Genomic DNA, 23,142 nt, shown 5'->3' with positions numbered 1-23,142 from the left:
TGCCGCCATGTGAGACATGACTTTCACCTTCCACCATGATTGTGAGGCTTTCCTAGCCACGTGGAACTGTGAGTTCTCCATTAAACCTCTTTCCTCTGTAAATTGCCCAGTCTTGGGTGTGTCTTTATTGGCAGTGTGAAAACCGACTAATACAGATAGGATAACAGAGGGAGGCCGGCAGCTTACGTATTAAAAGGTTAAACTGGACGCCAGGCGCGGTGGCTCATGCCTGTAATCCCAGCACTTTGGGAGGCCAAGGTGGGCAGATCACAAGGCCAGGAGTTTGAGACCAGCCTGGCCAATATCTACTAAAAATACAAAAATTAGCTGGGCGTGGTGGCAGGTGCCTGTAGTCCCAGCTACTCGGGAGGCTGAGGCAGAAGAATCGCTTGAACCCAGGAGGCAGAGGTTGTAGTGAGCCGAGATCATGCCACTGCACTCCAGCCTGGGCGACAGAGCAAGACTCCATCTCAAAATAAACAAACAAAAAACAAAAGGTGAAATCGGGCTGGCGTGCTGGAGAGCTTCTTTGTGGAGGTAATGGATTATCTATCATGAAGGGTGACAATCTAGCTCTATGGGTTTCCAGGGGAAGGAACATGCCATGAGATGAGATATTTGGCCCATTCAGGGAGTCAACATAAAATCCGTGTTGAGTTTCATGTGTCCCGTGTGGCTGACCGGTGTGGAGAAAGAGCACAGTAGCCCAGGGTGACCCGAGGCTGCACAGGGAGCGAGGCATTTGGCTTCTATATTGCACGCAGCAGGAACCCCTGCAGGACGTGGACAGGGGAGTGGCCTGGTCTGGGTATATCTCAGGAAGATCAGTGTTGCTGCTGGCAGGTGAATGGTTTGGATGAGGAAACAGGGCCGGCTGGAAGGCTGCTGCAGTGGTCCTGGCGAGAGGTACCAGTGGTCTGAGGCAGAGAGGAAAGGGATCAGAATCCTAGTTAACAGACTGATAGGACTGCTGATGCAGGGGGTGTGGAGGTGGGGGCTGGGGTCCAGGGAAAGGAATTGGGGACCATTCCTAGGGTTCTGGCAGAGGAATATAGAAATGCGGGGTGCTGGGAGCAGAGATTTGGGTGGCTGCAGGAGTGAGGTAAAAAAAAAAAAAAAAAAAAAAAAACATTAAAAAGATGGATGCAGTGGGAAGAAGTTAAGCTGGAGAGGCCGTGAGACAACCCGATACAGATGTCAAGTTGCTGGGCCCCATAAGTGATCCTGGAATCCTGGGTGAAGGATACAAATGTTCGAGTCATCAAGGAAAATATGCCACTTAAAATCACAGGAGTGCATGCGATTTCCCAGGAAGAGATTCCAGGGAGAGCGGAGAGGCGTGAGTGGGTGCACACGGCGGGGCACACGTCACCCAGCCAGCTGGGAAGAGAAGGGAAGGAGGGCTTGGCGGCTGGAGGAGAGCCAAGGCTGTGAGTGGCCCACGGAAGGAGCATGTTTCATGTAGAAGAGTTCCAAGGATGGCGGTAAATGGGCAGAGGGGTCCTGGAAGGTGAGTCAGGAAGAGGGTGCTGAACACTTGACACCACGTCTACACCGGAGAAAACCTCCCACAGACATGAGCAGTGGCGGCGACGGTGAACTCTCAAGTCACCCAGGTGGCAGGCATTGTTAACCCATTTCCAGCTCGCCCTGGGAGTGACACTGTGCGGGGCAGCCCTGTGTGCACAGCCCTCCCATGGGGCCCCAAATCCACTCTCCACCAAGAGCCCCTCTAACTAAGGACTTCTTCCCTTCCCTCTCTCAGGTCCTGCATGGTTTTTTCTTTCCTAAAGGGCAGGCTGTGTTTGAAACCCTGTAAAGCATTACAGCATTTTAGTAGTTGTTTTGGGTCTGACCCAGAAGTAAAGGTTAAGGACATTAAGAGCACACACAAAAATCTGATTATCGTCCATGGTGACAGTTTCATTTTGCTACTTACTGTTTTCAGAGAGCTCCACGATGTAATAAAGAATAGGACTGTTTCCATCAAAGGGCCGGACCCAAGAGAGCACCACGGCGTGGCTGTGGGAAGAATTAGGGCTGACCAGGAGGTTCTGAGGTGAATGAGGCAGTTCACTTGAATTGAATGGGATGAAAAGGAAAAAGAGGAAAACACATGTCAGAATCCATGGTGAGCCTGAGCTCTTACAGCAGACCGTCCTGCTGTGTCATGTTTGGGAAATGAATAACATAAAATATGCCCAAACACAAATATTAACTCTCTTCCCCCCAGAAAAGGACACACAAAACCCAGCTTCATTATTCACAGTGTTACTTTGTTTTCTGGTCATAATTTCATGGAACCCTTATGCTAGCTACCAAAACAAGTACTGACGCTGTCACATAAATAGGGGGAGGGGACGCAGACGTTTACACATACATTATTATTTTCTGTTTTTTATAAGACCAAGTCTCGCTCTGTCGCCCAGCCTGGAGTGCTGTGATGCAAGCTCGGCTCACTGCAACCTCCGCCTCCTGGGTTCAAGCAATTCTCTGCCTCAGTCTCCCTAGTAGGTGGGATTATAGGCGCCTGCCACCATGCCCAGCTAATTTTTGTATTTTTAGTAGAGATGGGGTTTCACACCATCTTGGCCAGGTTGGTCTTGAACTCCTGACCTTGTGATTCACCCGCCTTGGCCTCCCAAAGTGCTGGGATTACAGGCGTGAGCCACCATGCCCGGCCTACACATACATTATTTAATTGAGAAAACGTGGTCAACAATTTGTTTTTTACAACTAGAAGCTGGTCATGGAAATGCCACATATGCAGGAAAAGTCCCGATACATGTAACGGGAATGTTTCCAACACTAGCCATTTAGAGTTATGAGCGAAAATGCCTGCATGTATTCTTAGACCACACAGTTGCCGCATTTATTGACAGCATGAGGTTACATTGTCATTATGTCTTCTGCTGGAGTTATGGGGATTTGGAGGAAGTGTGGTGAAACCACTCACTAAAATCCCATGGAAATGGTAAAGAACACATCAGCAAGGCTATGAAATGGAAATGCAATTAAAGCGAATAAATTCTTTAAATAAGTTACTAGTTAAAAAAAAAAAAAGTTTTTACTGGGACTTAACCAGTGACAAAGCTGCAAAACCCTACTACATGGTTTCTACCAAGGCTGAGTCTACAACCTTAAAACCATGAGCTGCCCGGGCCCTGTACTGAACCTTCACGTCTCCTGAATCCGGAGCAGGACCCTGTTCCGGGGCTGTCCTGGATGGCTGCCCCTCCATAAACGCTGCCAGGCAGTGCCGGGAAGAGGGGATGCTGAGTGTGACCCGGGTCACCGCTAACCAGCTTTTGGTCTCTCAGACATCAGGTACTGCTGACCCACACAGGTCAGAACACAAAGCCATAATTATACTTGATATTTTTAATTTTAAAAATGTACTCATTACATTTTGAAATTTATTAAGCTGTTTTGAGCTTTCAGTTCCCCAAGAAACAGCTCTAACCCATACGCACCATTTATAAGCATACTAATATTTCTAATGTAGACTGCAACTACATTGTACATTAGTGCGATAAAGAATAAATGCGAGCCCAGGATGTCGTCTTGTTTTCTCTTTAATTGTGAATTAAGTTTTGAATCAGAAAAGGAATAGTTTGTTTCTTTTATTTATTTTTTGTATAGACAGGGCCTCACTATACTGTCCAGGCTGGTCTCAAACTCCTGGCCTTGGGCGATCCTCCCCAACCTCGGCCTCTCGAAGTGCTGGGATTATAAGCATGAGCCACTGCACCTGGGCAGAGCTGTCATTTCTATTTGAGTTCTCCAATAACCGAATCTCCATTAGAGGCGGAAATGCCAGTTATCAATTCTACTCCTCCCAAGCCCCATTTCCTATTCCCCCTGCTGCAATCTGAATCGGTGTGGTCTGAAACCAAACCAAAGTTGTTGAAAAAGTCCCACCTGAAAAGAAAATATGAATAAATCTGACAGATATAGCCAAATAAGATGGTTTATCATAAAGAATGTATCTGATCTGAGATGGAACTTCCAGACTGTTTTAGTTTCCTGAGTGACTGGGACGGTTTTCGCCACCATGGTGAACCTCTCAGACCACAGCTGAGCTTATGCTTCTTGGGTGGACTCATGGTGGGCCCCAAGATCCTTCCAGGATGGGTCTGGCCATGCTGGGAAGGCCAGTCATGGGGATAAGAGGGTTGGGGCTTTGAGCCAGTGGTGACGGCTCAGCCTTCTGACCTCTGGGGAGTGGAGGGGGCTGGGGACTAGGTTCAACCATGCAGCCAGTGATTCAACTCTGGGAGGCTTGGGGTCGGTGAGAGTGGTAGGAATGCAGGATTTGCCCTGGGTGGCAGAGAGGCCAGACAGGGTTGAGGGAAAATGCACTGGCCTGCACAGAGAGACCAGCAATGAGCTTATGTTCACAATTTCTGGGATGTCTTTTTGACATTGGTTCTGGGACCCCAAGGGCAGCTCATTGGAAGCCGTTCTCACAGACTGGACACAATGTCAGATGACCATCTGTAATAGTCAGGATGGGAGATAGGCCGTGAAACTAAAGGTGGGTTAGAGGCTCGAGGAGCCAGGCAGCTCTGCAGACACACACAGTAGGAGTTGGAGAGAAGCCAGGGCAGGAGAGGGTTGTACAGCCAGCTCAGGACAAACCTTGCAAAACAGACATTCTCGGGCCAGGTGACCATATGCTATAAGATGTGAACAGGCTCCTGGGAGACAACAGAAATGGGTGACCTGTGGCCCCTGACAAGCTGCTGTGTCTCTGCACACTTTCTCTGATGACCTCAAGGGGGTTATGTTTGATCGAATTCTAAATTCTAAAAGTCTGTCTTTCTCACAGAGGTGAAAATGCGGCCTCTTGCACTTGATTTCAAATCACGCTTCTCTTAGCCCAAGGTGAGAGTGCACACAGAAACAACCCATCTGCCAGGTGGGTGGACTGCCTTTCTCTTGAGGCTGCAGTGCTTTGCAGACACTCACTTAAATGGAGGCTACTCACGGGGCAGCTTCTGTCCTCCAGGGGTCAGCTCTCACAGTCCCTGGAATATGCTCACACATGTCCCTCCATCCCTCTGCCCCCTCTCAGCTAGGATGTGATTCTAGTCAGAGTGGTTTCAGATTTTCCCCCTGCCAGCAGACCACAAGCAACAGATGAGAAGTATCTACCCGAAGCAGGCACACCCAACAGCAAAAACGGTCGCAACAGCCTGAGATTGAGGGATGTAAAAAGATTTTTTAAAAGATTAAAAACAAATACTTAAAAACTTAGAAAGCAAACTAGTCTTGAGGCGTTTAGTGTAGGCGGCAAGAGCTACCCGCCTGGCAGTGCCCGAGGACCTGAGTGCCCGTGATGTGCAGAGACGCACACGTCCTTCTCTGCGACTGTCCCCCGAAGTCACTCCATTGGCTCAAAGTCACACTCAGTGTGATGGCCCAGGGCAAAGTGTGATATTTTGGTAAATCACAGGACTCAAGCATTGGAAGGAAATATTGATTTTTCCCAGTTTCAGTCTCTCCCCTCTGTGAAAATCCCCTTGATAATATCTCTTGTGTTCAATATCACCTGTTTCATAATGTGAAGGGCCTTGTGATAGAGAGGCATGTCTCAGAGATACTGCACGTTCAGTTCCCGACCACCACAATGAAGTGAATATTGCAATTTGCAAGTCACACACGTTTTGGTTTCCCAGTGCATATAAAAGTTCTGTTTATACTCTACTGCAGTCTATTAAGTGTGCAATAGCATTATGTCTAAAAAACATGTACACACCTTAAAGATACTTCATGCTAAAAAAGGTGATCATCTGAGCCTTCAGTGAGTCACAGTCTTTTTGCTGGTGGAGGGTCCTGCTTGGATGTTGATGGCTGTGGACTGATCGGAGTGGTGGGGCTATAGGCTGGGGGGACTGTGGCAATTTCTTCAAACGAGACAGCAGTGAAGCCTGGCGCATCAACGGACTCTTCCTCTCATGAAAGACTTTTCTGTAGCATGTGATGCTGTTTGATAACATTTTACCCACAGTAGAACTTCTTTCAAAATTGGAGTCAATCCTCCCAAACCCTGCCACAGCTTTACCAGCTAAGTTCATGCAATATTCTAAGGCCTTGTTGCCATTTCAACAATGTTCACGGTATCTTTGCCAAAAGTAGATGCTGTCCCACACCACTTGCTTTGCTCATCTATAAGAAGCAAATCCTCATCTGGACAAGTTTGATCATGAGATTGCAGCAGTTCAGCTACATCTTCAGGATCCACCTCTAATTCTAGTTCTCTTGCTGTTTCCACCACATCAGCAGCAACTTCCTCCGTGGATGCCTTGAACCCCTCCAGCCTCATCCATGAGGGCTGGAATCAACTTCTTCCCAACTCCTGTTAATATTGATATTGTGATCTCCTCCCATGAATCACAAACATTCTTTTTTTTTTTTTTGAGATGTTGTCTCGCTCTGTCGCCCACGCTGGAGTGCAGTGGCACGATCTCAGCTCACTGCAAGCTCCGCCTCCTGGGTTCATGCCCTTCTCCTGACTCAGCCCCCCGAGTAGCTGGGACTACAGGCACCCGCCACCAAGCCCGGCTAATTTTTTGTATTTTTAGTGGAGATGGGGTTGCACCATGTTAGCCAGGATGGTCTCGATCTCCTGACCTTGTGATCCACCCACCTCAGCCTCCCAAAGTGTTGGGATTACAGGCGTGAGCCACCGCGCCCAGCCCACAAACATTCTTAATGGTATCTAGAATGGTGAATCCTTTCCAGAAGGTTTTCCATTTACTTTGCCCAGATCCATCAGAGGAATTATCATCCATGGCAACTATAGTCTTATGAAATATATTCCTTAAATAATGGGACTTGATGGTCAAAAGTCCACCTTCATCCACAGTCTGCAGAACGGATGTTGTGCTAGCAGGCATGAAACCCACATTCATCTCCTTGTACATTCCCATCAAAGCTCTAGCATGACAAGGTGCACTGTCCATAAGCAGTAATATTTTCAAAGGAATTTTTCTTTTCTGAGCTGCAGGTCTCAAAAGTAGGCTTGAAATATTCAGTAAAACATGCTGTAAACAGAAGAGCTGTCATCCAGGCTTTGCTGTTCCATTTACAGAGCACAGGCAAAGTAGATTTAGCATCGTTCTTAAGAGCCCTAAGATTTTCAGCACAGTAAATGAGTGTTGGCTTCAACTTAAAGTCACCAGCTCCATTAGCCCCTAACAAGAGAGTCAGCCTGCCCTTTGAAGCTTTGAAACCAGACATTGATTTCTCCTCCGTAACTAGGAAAGTCCTAGATGGTATCTTCTTCCCATAAAAGGCTGTTTCGTCTACACTGCAAATTTCTTGTTACTGTAGCCACCCTCGTCACTGTTCCTAGCTAGGTCTTCTGAATAACTTACCAAGTTTCTCCATCAGCACCTGCTGCTTTATCTTGTACTTTTATGTTATGGGGACGGCATCTTTCCTTAAATCTCACAAACCAACCCCTGCTAGCTTCCAATTTTTCTTCTGCAGCTTCCTCACCTCTCTGTCTTCACAAAACTGAAGAGAGCTATGGCCTTGTTCTGGGTTAGGCTTTGGCCTAAGGGAATGTTGAGGCTGGTTTGATTTTTCTCTCCAGACCACTCAAACTTTCTCCACATCAGCAATAAGACTGTTTCACTTTCTTATCATTTGTGTGTTCCCTGGAGCACTTTAAATGTCCTTCAATAACTTTCCCTTTGCATTCACAGCTTGGCTAACTGGGGCAAGAGGCCTGGCTTTTGTCTTGTCTTGGCTTTCGATATGCCTTCCTTACTAAGCTTCATCATTTCCAGTCTGCTTTCTAGTGAGAGACGTACAACCCTCTCTTTCACATGGACACTCAGAGGCCTTTGCAGGGTTATTAACTGGCCAAATTTCACACTGTGGGGCTCAAGGAATACAGGGGCCCAAGGAGACGGAGGGAGACAGGGAATGGCCTGTTGGTGGAGCAGTCAGAACACACAAGGCATTTATAGCTTAAGTTTGCCATCTTAACATCGGCGTGGCTCATGGTGTCCCAAAACAATTACAATAGTAACATTCAAGATCAGTGATCAGGGAGTGCCATCACAGATACAATCATAGTGACAAAGTTTGAAACATTGTGAGAATTCCCAAAATGTGACCAGAGACACTAAGTGAGCAGGTGCCGTTGGAAAAATTGCATCAATAGACTTACTTAACACAGGGTTGCTGCAAACCTCCAGTTTGTAAATAACAAAAACAAACGTGCAATACCTGAGGCATGCAATAGAAGATGGCGTGCCTTATTCTGGAAATATAAACTATTTCTTTTTTTCTTTCTTTTTTTTTTTTGAGATGGAGTCTCGCTCTGTAGCTCAGGCTGGAGTGCAGTGGTGCAATTCGGCTCACTGCAACCTCCGCCTCCTGAGTTCGAGCAATTCTCTGTCTCAGCCTCCTGAGTAGCTGGGATTACAGGTGCCCAACACCACGCCCGGCTAATTTTTGTATTTTTAGTAGAGACAGGGTTTCGCCATCTTGGCCAGGCTGGTCTTGAAATCTTGACCTCGTGATCTACCTGCCTCGGCCTCCCAAAGTGCTGCGATTACAGGCGTGAGCCTCTGCGGCCAGCCACTATTTCTTTAAATGATAAGTTTTGGTTATTTGGAAAATGAAGCTTTGTGAGATCCTTGACTAACCCATCAATAACAGATAAATGAGGCTTTAATATATTCTGAATCCATTTCAGAAAATCTTATCTAATGGGGATAGATTGCGTCGAAGCATTACTCTGCCAGCTTTGAAAGGAGATAAATGATCAGTAGAGTGACTCACAGACAGTGATAAGCACAGAGGCTGATAAATGGAAGAGGTCCCAGAGAACAATGGAAGCGAAGCCCAGTGCTGAGTCACTTTGTAATTGAAAGAGAATAGGGGGAAAACCACCGTCAGGCACAGGACACCTCAGGAATATCAGAAATTAACAACAACAGTAACGGAAACCCAACAGTACGGGAGAGAGATGAAGCAAGGTGTGTGTGAGAAAAACAGTTTTGAAAAAGACTCGAAAGAAAGCAATTGGTGAAATTGTGGCTGTAGGGGGAATTGCTCTGGCAGAAGAGGATCAGATAAGTACTTTTTTTCTACATAAAAAGCATTGGCCCTTTAATGCACAAATGATGACTTGGTCAAACCCATCTTCTTTGACTTCACTCTGAGGATGAAGATGACAGGGCTTGATAACTCTGGGGGAAACAGTATTAAATTCTTCACTCCTTACGAGGGCTCTGTCAGAACTGGTTTTATAGAAAGAAACCTCTCCCAATGCCTCAGGGTCTCCAAGTCAGCTCTGTAAATTGGGTTTTCTCTGTACTCCAGGCCCATGAGAATTAGACTCTGATTTCAGGAGGAGAGATGAAATGCTAATTGGGTCTTTAAATGATTTAACAATTAATCAATCCATAAGGCCTTAGGAGCCTGGTCCCTCTGGTGTGCTCAATACAGGAAGATGCTTTGGGGAATATGAAGTCATCCTGGAAACTGGCTCCTGTCCCCATGGCACTAGAAAACTAGAGCAAAGACGCTACTAAAACAAGGGGTGACCAGCATTTAATGATGACTTGTCTTGTTAATTTACAGGCTGCCTCATGGAACCATCTGGAGTTTAGAAGCCTCTTCTCTCAGTGGGGGGATGAAGGCAGAGCCCTCCTAAATTGGTCCTCCTCAGTAGGGCAAAAGACACCGTCTCATTTCAGCTCAGTAGGTGGAGTGAGGCTTACCCAGACATTTATTAGGTTCCTACTGTATACCTGGCACTGGTCCAGGCATTGAGGGCTCAACAGCAAACAGACACATCTCGAGTCTAGTGTCAGAAGGTCATAGAATGTAGTCAGAATAATGCAGGGTAAAGGGCTAGAAAGTTCCCAGCCCCAGGAGGCAGGGTGCTGTTAGGAAAGGGGGGAACAGCATTCTAGTATAAGATGGTAAGAAAGCACGAAGAGCTAGGACTTAGAGCATCCCTCCCCAACTGGCTTCCACAACAGGATCTTACAAACCCGGGTGGGTGCCGCCCTCACAGCCGTCCTTTGAGATGAATGATACCATGCCCAGTCTACAAGGTGAGAGGCAGAAGCTGAGAAGTGAGGGGATTTGTCCAAAGTCACACAAGTAGTGAAAGGTGAGCAGGGCCTCCTGTGCAGCCCTTTGCTCCTATTGGCCCCACTGCTGTCCAGCAGCCCCATCAGGACTGCTGTGGGTGTGATGTGGGTGTGGGGGCCGCCCCTCCACTCAGCCTCAATGAGGTGAAGCTTAGTGCTAAGTGTAAAACTCGGGGCAAACAGACGTGAGAAGAGGCCAACGGCTGGTCTATTTTTGAAAAGCTCACTTCAGATGCTCGTAATTTCTATATTTAATGAAGCAGCTTTTAACTGAAGTGGAGAGGCAAGGAGAAAACAGGCTTTCAGGCTCCTCTGAAGGACATTGTTTAGTCATAAGCACCTCTCAGTCCCTTCCCTTTGGCAATATGAGATTTTTCTCTTGCTTTTTTTTTGGTTATCTGAGTAAATGATGGAAACACTACAGAGCTCAGTTTGAAAGTTACCCAAGAAGGACAGAATGCCCTGCAATCACGGGTTATTATTATTATCATTCTATTGCCATTATTGTTGTAGAGTCAAGCTCTGTTGGATCTAAAGACACCCCATGAAGGAACACCTTTCCCAATTCATCCAGGTTTGGGATAGAGGAGCCTTCGTGACACTAACAATTCACGAGGAACAACTGTCTTCCAAATCAGTTCTGTAACCAGTTTGTACTTAAATTAGTTTGAATCACAAATTTGCAGAGATTTCTATATTTAGAGATGAGATGTTTTACCGTTAGAGAAAGCCTATTATTTTATACATACAGCAACATTTGCTGAAAAATGTATTTTACTTAGAGGAAATCAAATAAGCAAATAGTAGGGAAGACATGTAAATCAGTAGACCATAAAACTGTGCAGAATAAAAAGAATGGGCTATATTGGAAGTATGCAATTTGGCTTCTGCTGACAGAGTCTTTATGAACTGCTAACGCTTATTTATTTGATACCAACGATGGATGATCTAAGGTTCTCAAAGGTAGCTTTAAAAATGTGCATAATACAACAGCTCCTAGGAACTCACTGGCCATATCCTCCTATATTATCAAAATGAAAAAAAAAAAATCCTCTGTCTGAGACCCGAAAGGAAGGAGGAAAGAGGCAGGAGCAGGGCTGGATGAGGGCTTTGGGTACTCACTGTTTGGGTTTTGGTAGAACGACCTGAGCTTACTTGTATACCCATGGTGGGGAAACCAGGGCATGTGAGCATCAAGGTACGAGTAGGGAACAGAAGGAGGCCCGCCAATGGGCCACCAAGGCAGACACACATTCATTCATTCCTTCATGCATGCACGCAGGCAGCAACCAACCAACATATATTTATTGAACAACGGTTATACAACAAATACTACATCAGGCACTCAAAATTCAAAACAGTGCCACCAAGGTGCTTCTGTTCCAGGAGGAGAGGGAGCCATGAAGATATGGTCGTCCTCTGCAGCGTGATCAGTGCTACCAGGAGGATCAGCTGCGCGCAGGGAAGAACTGCAGGCAGCATCCTGGTAACTGAACCGCAGGAAGTGCTACTGTCGTTGAATGCTAAGGGGTGCATGATCAGGAGACCTCCGGGGAAGCCCACGGATGACAGCACCCAACCGCAGAGACAGTGGATGGCTGGGGCTCATGAAGGGCAGAAAGAACCCAGGGTCGTAGGCTCCAATGCCTGAAGGCAGGGGCTGGGGGAAACCTGGCTGCCCCATGCGTACACAAAAGCTGGAGGACCCTCTGTGTGGCAGCCTCAGCCCCGGGACCCCCAGTGATTCTCTGGAGGACCGTCTGTGTGGCAGCCTCAGCCCCGGGACCCTCAGTGATTCTCTGGAGGACCCTCTGCGTGGCAGCCTCAGCCCCGGGACCCTCAGTGATTCTCTGGAGGACCGTCTGTGTGGCAGCCTCGCAGCCTCAGCCCCGGGACCCTCAGTGATTCTCTGGAGGACCCTCTGCGTGGCAGCCTCGCAGCCTCAGCCCCGGGACCCCCAGTGATTCTCTGGAGGACCCTCTGCGTGGCAGCCTCAGCCCCGGGACCCTCAGTGATTCTCTGGAGGACCCTCTGCGTGGCAGCCTCAGCCCCGGGACCCCCAGTGATTCTCTGGAGGACCGTCTGTGTGGCAGCCTCGCAGCCTCAGCCCCGGGACCCTCAGTGATTCTCTGGAGGGCCCTCTGCGTGGCAGCCTCAGCCCCGGGACCCTCAGTGATTCTCTGGAGGACCCTCTGCGTGGCAGCCTCAGCCCCGGGACCCTCAGTGATTCTCTGGAGGACCCTCTGCGTGGCAGCCTCAGCCCCGGGACCCTCAGTGATTCTCTGGAGGACCCTCTGCGTGGCAGCCTCAGCCCCGGGACCCTCAGTGATTCTCTGGAGGACCCTCTGCGTGGCAGCCTCAGCCCCGGGACCCTCAGTGATTCTCTGGAGGACCCTCTGCGTGGCAGCCTCAGCCCCGGGACCCCCAGTGATTCTCTGGAGGACCGTCTGTGTGGCAGCCTCGCAGCCTCAGCCCCGGGACCCTCAGTGATTCTCTGGAGGACCCTCTGCGTGGCAGCCTCGCAGCCTCAGCCCCGGGACCCCCAGTGATTCTCTGGAGGACCCTCTGCGTGGCAGCCTCAGCCCCGGGACCCTCAGTGATTCTCTGGAGGACCCTCTGCGTGGCAGCCTCAGCCCCGGGACCCTCAGTGATTCTCTGGAGGACCCTCTGCGTGGCAGCCTCAGCCCCGGGACCCTCAGTGATTCTCTGGAGGACCCTCTACGTGGCAGCCTCAGCCCCGGGACCCTCAGTGATTCTCTGGAGGACCCTCTGCGTGGCAGCCTCAGCCCCGGGACCCCCAGTGATTCTCTGGAGGATCCTCTGCGTGGCAGCCTCAGCCCCGGGACCCTCAGTGATTCTCTGGAGGACCCTCTACGTGGCAGCCTCAGCCCCGGGACCCTCAGTGATTCTCTGGAGGACCCTCTGCGTGGCAGCCTCAGCCCCGGGACCCTCAGTGATTCTCTGGAGGACCCTCTGCGTGGCAGCCTCAGCCCCGGGACCCTCAGTGATTCTCTGGAGGACCCTCTGCGTGGCAGCCTCAGCCCCGGGACCCTCAGTGATTCTCTGGAGGACCCTCTACGTGGCAGCCTCAGCCCCGGGACCCCCAGTGATTCTCTGGAGGATCCTCTGCGTGGCAGCCTCAGCCCCGGGACCCTCAGTGATTCTCTGGAGGACCCTCTGCGTGGCAGCCTCAGCCCCGGGACCCTCAGTGATTCTCTGGAGGACCCTCTACGTGGCAGCTTTGCAGCTGCAGCACCAGGACCCCCGCACCACTGCCGCCGGCTGATTCTGTAGAGCCATGGGGACTCCTGCCGCTTCCTAACTAACCACAATTACCTCTGCTATCTAAAGAGAACAAGGGGTCATCCTGGAAGGAGACAGAACAGGAGTTGGGATGGGATGTTTTTCAGGTACTGATGACACCACAGGGCCTTCCGGACTGACTGCTACACATCGTGAACCTTTTATATCCACAAATAGGGACTACAGGAAAGCTGTTTGTGAGTTCACTCATTTCCACATGCGTGTGGCAGACACAGAAGCCACATGCTTAGCACTTAGCAAGCATTCTTTTCATTTTTAATCCCCTCAGCTGGAGTCTTGGGATTCAGGGATCAATGAGTCACGGCTCCTATACTCGGAGTGTTCAAATTCTATTTGTGGGGAATGATTTTGAATACAGAATCTTTCCTGGATCAAAGGGGGCAGGGTCCAGTGAGGAAAAATCTCTCAAGATTGCCTTTGTCGAAAGGCCCAGCATGTCAAACGATGACCAGGGACGGATGCGCTGGGTGTGTCCCTGGAGCTGGCCACTGCCTTGATGAGTGCTCGGTTGGGATTCTTTATTTTCAGGTTTTATTTTTGTACTCATGCACTCACGGAATATTGAGATGGCACAACTTTTAAAAAGCAAATAAATACATGTCAGAAAAATAAAATGTGTCAGCAGGTATTTTGGTTTCCTGCTCCATGAATAGAGAGGGGAGTGGAGGGAGAAAGAGAGCAGAGACGGGGGAGATTGACGGTTTCCCGCCTGGGCTCTTTGGAACCCCCAGGAAGGTCCAGATTGGAAGTAACGGGCAGTTGCTTTCTGTTTTCAAGATTTCACAAGACTTAACTTAAAGTATCTATTTACCCACGGAGGGGCAGCTGGGACTCACTGAAACCCCAAGTCTAGGTGGCTTTCACGGGAACGACCTCGCCTCAGCAGTCCCACTCCAGCATCTCTCATGGACTGGAGGCTCTCAAGGGTATTATGTGGAAAAATGAACTTGCTACTTAAGCGCAGAGTGGTAAACAGGGCCTATCAGGATAAGGTGTCCACGGGAAAAATATGACAAAAAGGATCAACTGAAATAAAAACCAATGATCACACCATCTACACCAAAAACGAAACTTCTCAATTCCGAAGTTGAAAGAAACCACAAAAAAACCTTGTCCATATATGTAGTTATGCAGCATGATGCGCTGGCCTCTGACCGCTGACTTGGGACACAAGCCGGGCGTGACACTTGTGAAGTGGCAGTCACTAACAGGGGCACAGTAACGGAGAAAACCGCGGACTGGCTAACACCAAACGTCTCAGTACTCACATCACTTCCAGCCGGGCCATCCTGGAGTCATTCCCTCCTTCAGAAACAATCTCGCAGCTGTAGTCACCGATGTCGCCTGACCACGTCTGGCTGATGAGAAGGGACCCGTCCTTCTCCACCACGATCCTAGACGTGCTCGATGGAGTCAGGGCCACGTTGTCCTTCTTCCAAACGTAGCTGTGGGCCAAGCAAAGGGTCTTGAGTTACAAACCCCACAGTGACAGAATCACTGCTCCTTCCCTGTCTCTTAAAAAGCAAGCAACTAACAATCTTGTGAATGGACTTTAAAAACCACTGAACTGTGCTCTTTAAAAGAGTGATTTTTCTTTTCTTTTTCTTTCTTTCTTTTTTTTTTTTTTTTTGAGACAGAGTCTTGCTGTGTGGCCCAGGCTGGAGTGCAGTGGCATGATCTTGGCCCACTGCAGCCTCCACCTCCTGGGTTCAAGCAATTCTTGTGCCTCAGCCTCCTGAGTAGCTGGGACCACAGATGTATGCCACCATGCTTGGCTAATTTTTTTGTATTTTTAATAGAGATGAGGTTTTGCCATGTGGCCCAGGCTAGTCTCAAACTCCTAGCCTCAAGTGATCTGCCCGTCTCGGCCTCCCAAACTGCTGGGATTACAGGCCTGAGTCACCGCACTTGGCCTAAAAGAGTGAATTTTATGGCATATGAATTAAACCAAAAAATAATAAAAAAAAGAAAAGCAACCAGAAATCTTGGTCATAATACAAAAACACATGCTGAGGTTACAAACAGGGCAATGAAAATGACTGGCCCTGCCTGTCTGACCTTGTGTTTTAGAGATGAGAAGTCTGTAGAACCACGGGCATACCTGTCACCTATGAAAACTGCACCCAACATTCCTGCCCCGGTAAATGCTCCTGGAGGACAAGAGTGTTGTCTGGACAGGAGGCAACGACTGTTTAAAAAAAATCTACAGAGTGGAATTGCCCAACTCATGAAAAAAAAAATCACCCTTCAAAAACACACTTTCTTAAAATGTGACCATTCTGGCAGATGGTCCTTAAAATTGCATTTATTTCTCATTTAATCTATCTGTAGCAATTTGAGCACATTTTTCTTTTCAAATACACAATCAATTGAGAGCCTGCCCAGTCTTTAGATGACCACGGGCAGGGCCAGCACTCATTGCTATATGGAATGAAAGTGCTGTTTTTCTTTTCCACAATAATTTGATCGGGTTTTGCAAATGTGCCCAGTTCTTTAAAGACTTCATAGTCATAAGCACAGACATTTACAAACTACCTTCTCAGCAATTACCCTGAGATAGAACAGGGCTGATTCCACAAGAGGGAGATGGATAGACTGCTCACGCCGGGGCATCGCATCTGGCTGGCTGGTCACTTACAGCCTGGCGCTCCTCAGGGCAGAGCAACCCTGGGACGAGGGGCACCCCGAGAGCGAGTAACCCAGTTCCATCTGAGGAAGGGGCCTCCAATTTAATCACATATAACAAGCTACTACGAAACCACAGGGATCCGAGGGGGTTCTTTCTGAGCTGTCAGAGTAGCAGAAAAGCAGACTTCCTTGAAGTCATACTCCAAATCATTTAGGAAGGAGCTCTTTCCGAGGCCTGACGACCGTCTCCAGGGTGGCCCCCAGGGGGGTCCTAGGTCGTCTTTCACTTGCTGGTTTTTGTTTTGCTTGTTTTGTTTTGCATTCGGCACCCACGTACCTAAACCAAATTTGGATTCTGAGCCCTGGGAAACCCCAGGGAGTCGGGTGGCGACATGGAAATTTACAATTGGCCAAACACCCGCTCAAGAAGCGCGAGAGAACAGCCGAGTCTCCGCGTCCCGCTGCTGACTGTGCACCCACAGCTGTCCCCTCTGCTCGGGGTGAGAGGCCCCAGAAAGCAGCAGGGCATCTTGAGTAGTCTGCCCATTCGACTCATGCACTGTGCCCCTTCTGGGCTAAGGCCAGAGTGGAAATACTCTGATGACTGGATATTTCCTTTTTTATTTTCAAGGCTGATTCCAAAAATTTAAAATTATCCTGAAGGTGGCTGCTCTTCAGGGAACAGCTCCCCACTGATGCCCACCTGTCTGCCACCACAACTTCACCTGGAGTCTCATATTTTGCAGTTACTTTCCTGGCCCGAATTTAAACAAAGACAGGATGTCGGCATTCCTTTAGAGAACCCTTGGCCGGGCACGGCAGCTCACTCCTGGAATCCCAGCACTTTGGGAGGCCGAGACAGGTGGATCACGAGGTCAAGACATCGAGACCATCCTGGCTAACATGGTGAAACGCCGTCTCTACTAAAAATACAAAAAAATAGCCGGGAGTGGTGGCAGGCACTTGTAGTCCCAGCTACTCGGGAGGCTGAGGCAGGACAATGGTGTGAACCCGGGAGGTGGAGCTTGCAGTGAGCTGAGATAATGCCACTGTACTCCAGCTCAGGTGACAGAGCAAGGCTCTGTCTCAAAAAAAAAAAAAAAAAAGAGAACCCTCACATCTGGCCTCCCTCTTGGCATGCACCTTCCTATTAGTGCACTGGGGGCTGTGGGTGACTTTGTCCCATGCACAGGACTCCCTCCCCCTCCATTTCACGATGAAACTATCCCGAGAGTAAAGAACTCTCCCGGGAGTGGCACAGCCCCCGTGTAAACAATGCTGAATCCTAGTCGATCCCCCTGGATTTTTCTCTCATTGAGTATCAGCCTCTGACAAGTACGTTTTACAGATAGTGTATTAACCTTGGCAGGAAAAATCATGAAAAGCAGCATTAACGTCATGAAGTGGAACATAGCTCACTGTAAATAACACATAAGGCTGGAGTGGAAAATGGGATTTGCATGATTAATGACGGTGCCCACAACCAGAAGATACCGTAATCAGGGACCTGCTGCTGAAATCAAAAGTTCCCCCAATTCTTCCTCCTCATCTCAACTTCACTTCAGAAACTCACAGAATATCAACAAGCCCCAAAGCATTGTAACTGATTGTGCTGACCGGAGTGAAACCCGGGGGTCATGTGTGGCACCACAGTGCAGCGTGGCCGTGGTCCCCTTAATCACCACGTGGTCCTCAGGAGGGTGGACGATGGACGTCCGATCTGAAAAAAACACAAGTCACGAGTCAGACGAAATGACAAGTTTGACAGTTTCTGCCCTCAGGGGGGATAATGCCCTGGTCATCTGACATCACAACCTCCGAGTTTTCTCTCATCTTGGCAGAATGAGTGTAAATGGATCACTCTCAGAAATGCTAGGGGAGTTAAAAACAAGCAAATAAGTAAACCATTGCAGCAGTCTGTCAACCCACCCACCCCTCCTAAATCAGCTTTAACCTCAAACACCATGGAAGTAACTGAATGCCGACCACCCCATGCAGGTGTGGATGAGGTTCTAGGCTCTAAAATAAAACCTAGATTCTCTCCCTAGATGACCATCATTCTAGTCATTTCTAGCGTCTGCATGGTACTTTTTGAGTCTGTCAAGTGTTTTTGTTTGAGTTGTGTTTATTCCTCAAGACACTCTTGTGAGGGCTAAATATTACTATTCTCAGTTTTCAGGAAGGAAGATGGACGCTCAGAGATGCAGTGACTTGCCCACCTCCCCCAAGCCAGTACGGGATGGGGACCCCCAGCTTGCCTGTGCGATGGGTCACTGTAGCACCCATACCTCTAAGGGGGACCTGCTCTGCTTCCAGGAACAGAGCCCAGAACTTCGGAGTCACAAGGCTAAGTTCGAGGGCAAGCCTGACCTCTGCTAATGGTGAGTCCAGAAAAACAATTCTGCATCTTAGTTTTCCTGGCTATGGCAGGGAATGCTTACGTCACTAATAGTTGTACAGGTTAAAGTGGGCAGAGTGTGTGAAAATGTTCTGTAAAGCCACCAAAGCGTTATCCCAGTCAGGCTAGTGTCGCTATAATGTTGAATCTCAGCAGATCCACAAAATTTTCTGGCGAATGATCTACAGAGATTCAGATACCACTTTTTCATAAGCTTTTTAATATCCTACTGCTCAAGGTCATCGCCAAGTTCTGATTACAAAAGTTCAAAAAACTGCAACCTCAGGCATAAATGGGTTAAATGTATGGTTACTATTTAGGGATACAGAATGAACGAAGTGGCTGACAGAGTCATCCACCAAATGGAACAAAAGCTGCTTTTTAGTACTTGACAGAATAGTGGGAACTTGGATTAATTTCCTTTAAACGCATGATCATTTTACAAATTAGGAAGAGTCGTTTATCAAAGTGGACACCAACCATATGATAGAAAATGCTAGACAAATATGAAATGAAGCACAATGATTTACTTTTTCTGGAAGAATAACGTTTCAACAAATTACTCCCTCAAGCAAGTTAAAACTTTCTCTCCTCATGTAGATAGATTTGTAAAAATCTGAGTGAGCATTCTTTTGCTTTTTGAATATGAGTTTTTAGTAGTACAGATTGAGATGAGACAGAGAGGAGAAAGTGTATTGGCAATTGAAGTTAAAAAGTGGCAATGGGGGACCATTTGGTCCAATCCTTAAGCTCCAGAAAACTACTCTGCATTTCCAAAATGTGTCTTGATTTTAAAAAGTGCAAAAGCTGAAGATTTTCTTTCAGTTCACTCCTAATATACAAGAAACATTGATAGTTAGTATATTAGAAGTGTCTTAGTTGTTCCTAACAATTGTTTAGCAAAAGCGGAAGATTTTCTTTCAGTTCACTCCTAACATACAAGAAACATTGATGGTTAGTGTATTAGAAGTGTTTTAGTTGTCCCTAACAAATGTTTAGCAAAATATTACTTCTTTAGGATTTTAATTCTTAATTTTCTTATAAAATGCTTATAAAATTAACCAACCTATCAATTTTGTGATTTGAGCTAGTTTTGTGTAATATCTCCACTGACTTTACAAAGTCAATCTTTCGTCTCTCCTGCAATGCCCCTATTAAATCTCTGAATACATTTTCTAGGTATTCTTTTAGACATTGAAAATTTAATTTCTCAACAGATTTCTATAAATTAGTTGTAAAAATAATCATTCTCTTTTGATTAAATTAGCAAGCCCAAGGGCATGCTGACATCCCCAAAGCACACGATGACGTGATGATTAAACCGTGGCTAACAGAAGGCCGACGTGCGAGGGCTGCTCCTTACTCCACACAGTGAGCGTGGCCGATGCATTCAGGGAGCCCTCTGTGTTGGCCGCATAGCAGGTGTAGTTGCCGGCATCCTGGATGAAGACGGGCGCGATCTGTAGACCCCCCGATTCAAGAAGCATGAACCTAGGAATCCGGACAGAGCCACTGGCCAGAATGTGGTTTTCTAAAGAACAGTGGAGAAAAGAGGCATGTTACAGTCGTAACGCTTGAAGGAAATGAAGATAGTGGTTAGAGCCATAAGCAAGTAATATGGTTCGGCTCCGTGTCCCCACCCAAGTCTCGTCTCGAATTGCAATCCCCACGTCGGGGGAGGAATCTGGTGGGAGGTGACTGGATCCTGAGGGTGGTTCCCCCGTGATGTTCTCCTGATAGTGAGGGAGTTCTCATGAGATCTGATGGTTTAAAACTGTTTGGCACTTCCCCCTTTGCTCTTTCTCTCTCTTGCAGCCTTGTGAGATGCGCCTGCTTCCTCTTCACCTTCCACCATGATTTCCTGAGGCCTCCCCAGCTATGCAGAACTGTGAGTCAATTCAACCTCTTTTCTTTGTAAATTGCCCAGTCTCAGGTATGTGTTTATATCAGTGTGAGAGTGGACTAATACAACAAAGAAATAACTTAAGGAAATAATCAGAATAAAGTGAAAATTGTAGGAAAAGAAATAACTGAAGCAGTACCTGCTAGCACTGTTTAGAATAACAAAAACCAAGAACATCCTACTTGCTCAATATTTAGAGATTTGGTTAAACAAATTATGATCCATGAACGTGATTGCTATGTTTGGGTGATCGGTTTTTAGTTTTCTTTATATCTGCATGTATTTGAAACATTTTTATATAAAGCTATTATGTTCAAAATTAGGCAGGAAAACAAGAGAGAATAAAAGCCCAGCCCTGTTATTGATCTGTAGTGTCCCAGATCTTTAGGAGCTGTGTCTGAGTGCAGGGGTTGTACCTCTGAGAGTCGAGAAGCTGCCAGGTGGTTTTCCAGAAGGAAGAGAAAGATAAGGCTTTTGGCATGTCAGCCCGATACAGCCCAGCAAGTATGAGGAGCTCATCCATGTGAATCAACAAGGCTAAGCACAGACTTGTTCAGGATGGACTCTGTGTGCTGTTCCTTCAGTGGCCCTCATGGAACGGGCTATGGGAACTGCAAAGGCAGCCTTCCCAGGAACTGAACCCACAGTGGGCTGAAGCGTCCCAGGTTGACTGCAGAAGGCACGGAACGATGTGGCCCTGGAAGCATCTTTCTTCAACAAAACAAAGGCCGTGATCCTTAATTCTGAATGTCACAAGGAAGAGCTCCACTTAACAGTGGGAAAAGTGAGTGCTAGCAGAGTGACTTCACATCCAGTCCTTGACACGGTAAGGCCCGAGGAGGCCTGAGGCACTCTCTGAAGGGCGTGGATAGAGAAGAGTGACATTTGCACAATCCTTCTCTTTTTCTAATGTGTGTTTCCCTTTCTAGAAGGCAGGGATCTTGTCTGTCCTATTTATCCTTGTGCCCATGGTATCTTGCACCTGGTAGGCATTCTGTAAATCAGGGGTCCCCAAGCCCTGGGCTGCAGACCTGTTTGGAACTGGGCTGCGTAGCAGGAGGTGAGCGGTGGCCACCGTGCATGACTGCCTGAGCTCCCCCTCCTGTCAGCTCGGCAGCAGCATTAGATTCTCATAGGAACGCACACCCTCCAGTGAACTATGCATGCCAAGGATCTAGGCTGCACACTCCCTAGAAGAATCTAATGATCTGAGATGGAACAGTTTCATCCTTAGACCATCAGCCCCCACTGGAGACCATGGAGAAATTCTCTTCCAAGAAACAGGTCCCTGGTGCCAAAAAGGTTGGGGACTGCTGCAATAAGAGTTATTTAATCTTCATTGAGTGAATGCATAAGTGAATAAACAAGAGAGTGAATAAGAAGCAAGCACTGGCCCGATAGGTTATGTTCTACATGGGCCATGCTGTTGTGGGCAGTGGATGCTACCCACCTCTTTTCCAGGTGATGGCGGGTTTGGGAGCCCCGGACACCTCACACCTTAGAATGGCTGTCATCCCGTCAGTAACTGTGGTGTCCACTGGCCGCTGGGTGAACACTGGAGCGATATCTGAGAAGAGGAGTAAATGAAATGATCAGGGCCTTGTTCCTGAGAGGCTCACATCAGCCTGGCAGAGTATCCTGCACGGGCTTTAGAGAGCCAATCACAGAGGTAACTGTAGCAATACAAAAGGAATACTGTTCAGGAGGGACGGCAGCCCTCCACTGTTCCTCTCCCAGGAGTTACCGATCTTTGTTTACAACCTGGAGAGAAAATACAGCGTCACGATGTAATAGATACACAAGTGGAAACGTGCAGGGGCCCAGGAAGAACAGTTTTTGATGAATATTAAAGAGAGGAGAGGCATTTATTTAGATCAGCCAAAAGACTGCTTTTGTTCTTTAAATGAAAGGTAGCCCATGCCTATATTCCCAGCACTTCAGGAGGCTGAGGCAAGAGGACTGCTTGAGTTCAGGAGTTTGAGACCAGCCTGGGCAACACAGTGAGATCCCTGTCTCTACCAAAAATGAAAAATTAGCCAGGCATGGTGGTGCAGGCCTATAGTCCCACGTACTTGGGAGGTGGAGGCAGGAGGATCGCTTGAGCCCAGGAGGCTGAGGCTGCAGTGAGTGATGATCGTGCCACTGTACTACAGCCTGGGTGACAGAGTGAGACCTTATCTCAAAAACAAAAACAAAAAAAAAAGCTAATTATTGAATACAAAATGTCATCCACAAGATGACACTTTCTAGGATGCTTTCTAGGATCTGTTCTGAGAGTTAAAATAACCAGGTTTCAAAGACCTCCATAAAGATACATTTCTGGGAGGTGTCATGATCCCCAAGTGCTGGGTTTCTTCTTGTTCATGGGGGATGGTCACGGCCCCGAGCAGCCCTGAGTCAGACCGAGGAAAGACAGGAGGAGCTCCTGATGGCTTCAGCGAGGGCTCGCCTAACTCTGTGCTACCCAATAACGATTAACCGGAACCCCCCGTACAACAGTGATCTGTGTCTCTCAAGTCTTCTGTGAGGGTCCCTGGGCTGATACCCCTCAAGGAAAGAAGTGAGTAGACCTCACGGGACCCAGGGCACAGCCGCCGCCTCTGCCTGCACCTGCTGAGAATCCCATGGACCATGGCAAGTCCCAGAAACTTCACTGCCAAGGCCCTTCCTGAAGCTGACCTTGTCTCTCCACCTCGCAGGCAACCACCCGAGTCCAGGTCTTGCCAGATGCCGCAGGCCCCCTAACAGGTCTCAACACTTCTGTG

At 48.0% G+C, this 23,142-nt stretch overlaps 1 protein-coding gene across 5 annotated transcripts in view, besides 1 other annotated feature; it reads right to left on the bottom strand.

Annotated features, from left to right (window-relative positions):
* SDK1 (sidekick cell adhesion molecule 1) overlaps positions 1-23,142 on the bottom strand; it is a 967,749-nt gene that overhangs the window by 279,739 nt on the left and 664,868 nt on the right. For all 5 annotated transcript variants that reach the window (NM_152744.4, XM_047420038.1, XM_047420037.1 and 2 more), the window contains 5 exons: positions 21,828-21,944; positions 19,838-20,005; positions 17,694-17,796; positions 14,717-14,893; positions 1,940-2,076 (listed from right to left, as the gene is read on the bottom strand). In NM_152744.4, coding sequence (NP_689957.3) covers positions 1,940-2,076; positions 14,717-14,893; positions 17,694-17,796; positions 19,838-20,005; positions 21,828-21,944 — 702 coding nt within the window. The remainder of the gene's footprint in view (positions 1-1,939; positions 2,077-14,716; positions 14,894-17,693; positions 17,797-19,837; positions 20,006-21,827; positions 21,945-23,142) is intronic.
* Positions 19,784-20,983: an enhancer, noted in NCBI's record as "BRD4-independent group 4 enhancer chr7:4007911-4009110 (GRCh37/hg19 assembly coordinates)". NCBI's record gives its function as "activates an origin of replication core promoter dependent on BRD2, P300/CBP, MED14 and CDK7 cofactors, and independent of BRD4, by STARR-seq in HCT116 cells {active_cell/tissue: HCT116}" and the evidence as "EXISTENCE:reporter gene assay evidence [ECO:0000049][PMID:35650434]".

Source organism: Homo sapiens, chromosome 7, assembly GCF_000001405.40.
Source record: "Homo sapiens chromosome 7, GRCh38.p14 Primary Assembly".
In the NCBI taxonomy this organism is placed as follows: domain Eukaryota; kingdom Metazoa; phylum Chordata; class Mammalia; order Primates; family Hominidae; genus Homo; species Homo sapiens.
The sequence above is the reverse complement of the archived record's forward strand: the minus strand, read 5'-3'. Positions and strand labels throughout refer to the sequence as shown.